Here is a 6,314-nt window from a genome sequence, read left to right on the forward strand (position 1 = left end):
ACTGTGAGGAATAACCTTCTGCTTATGAAATTGTTTATTGTTGGAAGTGCGCCTTCACAGTAGACTTCTATTTAATGAGATTTCTGGGTTAAAAGGTAAGTTCACTTGAGGTTTGTTTGGTCCTCTGGAAATGTTTTGCCACTGCATTTTCACCAGGATTGTGTAAAAGTTGTTTATTTTATTTTTCTGTCTAATTGCATTTGCTAAAACCTCTAGTGAAATGTTAAATTGTGGCAGAAATAGTAGTCAGACTTTCCTGGATTGACTAAAAAATGTCTCTAATGTTTGTTATGCATTTAAGATACTGACTTTAGCACTAAAGTATTTCTCAATTATGTTTTTAGAAGACTTAAAAATTAAGAAATGGTTGTTAAAATTTATTGAAATTATTTGTAGCATGTATGGGAATAAGCATATGTTTTTCTCCTCAGAACTATTGATATATTATATAATATTAGTGCATTTTCTAATATCAAACCAACCTTGAATTACTGGATTTAATTTCACTTAGTCCTTAGTCATTTTGTATTTGTTATCTTATGCTCTCTTTTATGATATTATATTTAATATTTTTACAGGAATATTTTTTCATAATATTGGTCTAAACTTATTTATATTTTCTTTATCGGATTTAAGACACAATATTTTCCTTGTTGTATAAAAGATATTAGGATTGTTTTATTTTAGAAATGTTTGGGAACAATTTATAGTGTATCAGTACTATCTGCTCTTTGAAAGTTTGGCTAAATATCTTAACACAATCATATAAAGAAAAAAAACTTCATACAATAACCAAAACATATTTATCAGAGCAAAATGTTCATTTAGATACATACAATCCAAATAATCTATGAGCTGTGATTTTCCCAATAAATGATAAAATTAGCTAATCACAAAGATCATTTTAAAAGGGAGGTAATAGGTCAGGAAAGAGAAAATATGCTACCCTGCTAACTTTGAAGATTGAGGATGGGCCCATGAGCCAAGAAAAGTAGGTGGCCTATAGAAATGGAAAAAGGAAAGGACAAATTAATAGGTATCTGCTAAAGTCTCCAGAAGGAACACATCCCTAAGACTTCTGACTTCTAAACCTGTAACAATGACTATGACTGGTTTCAAATCATTGAATTGTGGTAATTTATTTTAACAGTAATAGGAAACAAATACAAATTTCCTGAATGGAGACCAACTAGATTGCGTATACATTTACCATTAGCTTCAAAAACTCTGTTGTGTAGTTAGGAAAACTGAAGGACTTGGTTTAGAAAGTGAGTGAATATATGCTGTAAAAAATGGTGTAATATTTTGTATAACTGGTTTTCTCTGAATTAGCCGGAAACATAAAAAATTCATCTAATATTTTCTTTAACTCTACTGAGGAAAGAATCATGGAGCTTACAGATCCTAGGACTTTGCAAGACAACACTGAAGGATTGTAGTTACAGTAAGCTTAAACAGGTGAAATTCTGAATTTGGTCCTCATTTGTTGCCAAGAAAACAGATAAAATCTTTTGTACATTCATATTGTTGTTGATGTTTTTTAATATTGCTTTTGCAACTGCACCTATAATTTTTAACATCCAGAATTTCAGAACTTAAGGTTTTATGTTTTTTGGAAATCAAACCACCTAAAAAGGCTAAATTAGATAGAAAAACATTGTTCACAAAGCAGCTCTTCAGTCATTATTTTGTTAAAGCTGATTTAGATATTTCTCAGAATTTTAAAGAGTAAATGAAAAATTAATAGTTATTCAAGCCCAATTTACAAGAAAAATAATTAAACTTTTTAAAAATTAGATTTCTATGAGCAATGTGATTATGTTTGAATAGACTCATAAAAGTGCTACATTTATTATAATATAATTTAGAAAACTGGTGGCACTTGTATATCTAGGTATCACACATACAAATATTTCCCAAGTCCTTTTTTTGACAAAACTTCAAAGCAAGTGCAGAACCAACTTTAAAGATTCCCTAGTGGCATAATTAACACTTCTAGATCTTCTTCTAATTAATCACTGGGGACACTTGACTAATGTGGATTTAACTGCTAATTCAAAAGTTTTCTTTAAACTATAGTACAACTTTAATTTTTTAAATAGTCTCTAGTTAGAATTGCATAGCTCAATACTAATAACTTTATTTTTGAAGAGGTGAATTCATGTTAACATTTTACCAAGTGAAATGTCAACACCCCTTAGAGCTATTGTGGCTACATCAATGTCTACTATCTCTGGAGTCATTTTTTAAAAATCAGAGTTAAAACTAGTATTAATCATGCATTTTTCAAAGATGTAAAAGAACATATCAATTCACAGTTGATTAGTTTTTCCTTCAGAATTAATAAAAGCGTCACCAAAGAGATAGTGCTACTTAAACTACATGTTTAAAAATTTGTGTTAATTTATTTGTAACTTGGTTAAAAAAATCCACATAGAATCATATTTCTAAAAGAGAATAAAACTAATTATAAAATATGACTTATTTTGTACTTTCCATCATTGTACATGTCTGAATATTAGATCAATATTTTTGTACTTAATGACTTTTAATCTACTATTCAAAGTAAGTTTATATGAGTAAACAGGAGATTGGTCCCTTATATCAATGACTTTCACACTTTTGAATATTCATTGATTCTATTTAGACTTTTATTTCAATTTTATATCCTTACACTGGTATATTCTGAGTCTTGAGGTTTAAGGTTACTCATAAGCAGAGGCAGGCATAAGTTTGCAGCAACAGGATTGTCAGTAACTTGAGAGCAAATCTAAATCCATCAATTTAAGGAATACAGAGCACCGACTATGTGGTGCTTACAAATCCTAAATCCTAGGACTTTGTGACTATGTGAAAGGCACTTTTCTAGGATTCGGAGAAACAATGGTTAAAAAAAAAAAACCCACACACACACAAAACAGAGCTCCTGCTTTTATGAATCTTATATTCTAGTGACTGAATAAGCAAAAGGACTCTCAGTAACAGGTTTGAAGAGAACTACCGACCTCTGCATTTTTTCATGGATTAGGGCTTGTATGGGCAATTCTTGCTCAAACCACACATAGATGATTATGGAATACTACTGTAATTCATAACATTAATCTACATTTCAAAATGAGTTGTAAGATAATTTATATAAAACAATTGCAGAAACAATCACCTGTGTGAAGTACTTCAAGAACAGAATAAAACAATGTAATTACTGTGAACCAGAACATAACTACTAGTATCTAAACATTACTGCAAATATTAAAATAGAAGGCTATTTATGGTTGAAATCTGCATTCTTCATTAAACCTTATACTGTTTTACTATTTTATGGAGATTTAAAGCTAGTTATATAAATTACTTCTGGATAAAGAATGGAATCATATGTTGCAAGCCCTATTATATAAGACAATAATCAAACAATACATAGACATTTATTTATAAATGTCTACTGTTAAAGATAGTGTTATTACTTACAAAGTATTTTTTAACCTTAGATTTAGATAGCATCTCAGTATTAAGTGGAATGAAATGAAAATTAATTATAATCATTCTGGGGATAAAATTACGTTTTTTATAATATCCGCAGTTTATACCCACAATAACATTAATTATCTGGAAAAATCTCATTAAAGACCCATGTTATTCAACGAAAGTGCCTTACCAGTCGTTCTGCTAACAACAGTTATTTAGCAGGTTACAAGTGTAAATAAAACACCTGAGTAAATTTTAGATCATAATGTGAAGGAATAATCCAAACAATGATGTCTAGTATTTTGTTGTATCAGTTGGCTGTCCTGCAATGATTCAACTGAGAACATTCTGTGCTTATTATCCAGTAAAGAAATGACACAGAAGAAATTTGAGGGCAAAGGGAAACTACATTATGCATAAAAGCAAAGCTTCACCCATGATAGAAAGAATTCCTAGGGCTTGGAAGAAGGATGAAAAATAAAGTAATGAAGCTGATAGGGTGTGAAAAGAGAGAGCTAACCCCAGTGGGACCTTGCCTTACATGAGTTAACATTCAGAGAGACTGCCCAACTAAAATTTTAGCAAGCACCACCCATCTCTTAGTCTGTGAATTGCATGAGTTTCAAGCTAGAGAACACACACCATTTAGTCTTCTTTTTATAAGCATCACACAGTGCCTTTACCAAAGTATTAGCGGAGTTAATTGGCTTTTCTTTTAGCATCTCTTCTTTCATGAACATTGAGCATAACTTCCATTGACCATTCAAAAGGGATGATACTTAGGCACGTCTTGAGACTTTGCTGTATTCATAATAAAATTATCCTGTGAGGACACCCCTCATTTCTGCTAAACTGCCACTAACACTTTTAAAGTTTCAGGTTGTTGGCAAGTATCTGAGATAAAGAGAGAGCCTATGTGCTTAGTCCACCAGTGATGGCAGAAAGGAATGGCTCATGAACCTGTCTACATGTGGAGCTAAATGGAACCAACTCAACATCATTCCCCCTCCCACTTGCCACACTAAAAATAAATAAATAAATAAAAGACTTATATTTCTGAGTCATGTTTAAAATTAATTAAAAGGATGTTTGTATGAGTCCATTATGGCATTAAACCAATTCCACAAAGTAGTCTAGGGAAAACCTCATGCTATCAGATCCCTCTTGCGTTCTGCAATTTCTGAAAAAAAGATGTTCATTGCAAAGTGATATGAGCACTGGAAAGGTACTAATTCCAATTTGATTCTAATTGGATGAGTGACATGGGTAAGCGATTCTAAGCATTTGTGTTTTTTTTAGTAGTATGGAATTTAATTAGTTCTCAGTATGTTAGTGAAGATTGAATGAAAACATGCATATGTTTCCATGTATTATAAATATTTTAAAATGCAAAAAATTATTCTAATGAATATATAAATATAAAGCATAACAATAATAATACAATACCACCCATAAAGTCATCATCTAATTTAAAAACTAAAACATTAACACTTGAATCTCCCCCATTGCAACATCTTTCCCGACTTGTGTGTTTTTTTCTTTTGCTTTTAAAATTTTTGTTTTATCATATGTCTGCATAAGATTATATAGCTTTCCTTGTTTTAAGCTTTTTAAATAATATATTGTAGTTATATTATTTGTGCTTTGCTTTTTTTACTTAACATTATGGTTCTAAAATTCAGTAATGTGTTGGGCATGTATAATTTGTTTATTTTTAATCTCTTTGACATTCGACTATATAAATTTCAGTTTGTTTATTGACTCCTTTGTCTATAGATACTCTGCTATTTCTGTTTTTGCTGTTACAAAAATAATGCTGTTTTAAATTTCATTTTGTATACTTTTTTGAGGCATGTGTATGAGTTATTCTAAGGTAAAAAAATAAGAAAAAATTGCTGGGTTATAAGATTGTCACATGCTCGAATTTACAAGATAATGCCAAATCATTTTTCAAAGTAATTATACCTATTTATACTACCGGTATGAGTATATTGGTGCCCACATAGTTGCTTGTTCTGCCAAAGTTTGGTATGATCGAACAATAATTTTTGCCCATCAAATGGCATAAAATAAAATCTCAGTGTGCTTTTAATTTGCATTTTCTATGTTTAAGAATTGTTTCTTTTTTAACCATTTATAATTTACTTTTGCTGAAATGCTTGCTTATTATTTTTGCTCCCCATTTTTTCCTATTGGATTGCTTTTCTCATTAATTTATAAGAATTTTATATGGTTTAGATACTAATTATTATATTACTGAAAATACCTTTATCAGTTTGTTGTGTACTTTCTACTTTATGTCTTGTGATGGATAAAAGTTTTAAATTGTATTGTGTTGAAGTTAACATTTTTAAATTTTATAATCAGCATCTTTAATAATCTCTTTATAAAATTTTCCTTTACATAGATGTCATAAAGATACATCTCTATAATTTCTTATTTTTTTGGCATATGTTCATTAAGTCATTTTATCATTTTTTAGTAATAAATTGCAGTTATTTATGAAACAAATAATTTTTAAAATTATATATGCTTTCTTTAAAAATTGATCTTAGCATGCTTCACTATGAAGCTTGAGGCTTCACTGCACGTTGTACTGAAATTATGTATAAAACAGTGGTTCTGAAAATCTCTGAGTTCATGACACCTTTAGTGTCTCAGGTTTTTTTGCTTTTGTTCTTGTTTTTTCTCACAAAGCACCTAAGTTAAATAAAAACAAAGCACAAAGCTATCAGCTTCATGTATTAAGTAGTAAGCTCCCATGTTAACAGTTGTAACTTGCCTGGTGCCCAATAGATGTCACTCTGTTTTCCTAGAAACTTTAAAATATCCCTCAGTGCTCCTGTTAATTC

This window comes from Homo sapiens, chromosome 2 (assembly GCF_000001405.40).
Source record: "Homo sapiens chromosome 2, GRCh38.p14 Primary Assembly".
Taxonomy (NCBI): Eukaryota; Metazoa; Chordata; class Mammalia; order Primates; family Hominidae; genus Homo; species Homo sapiens.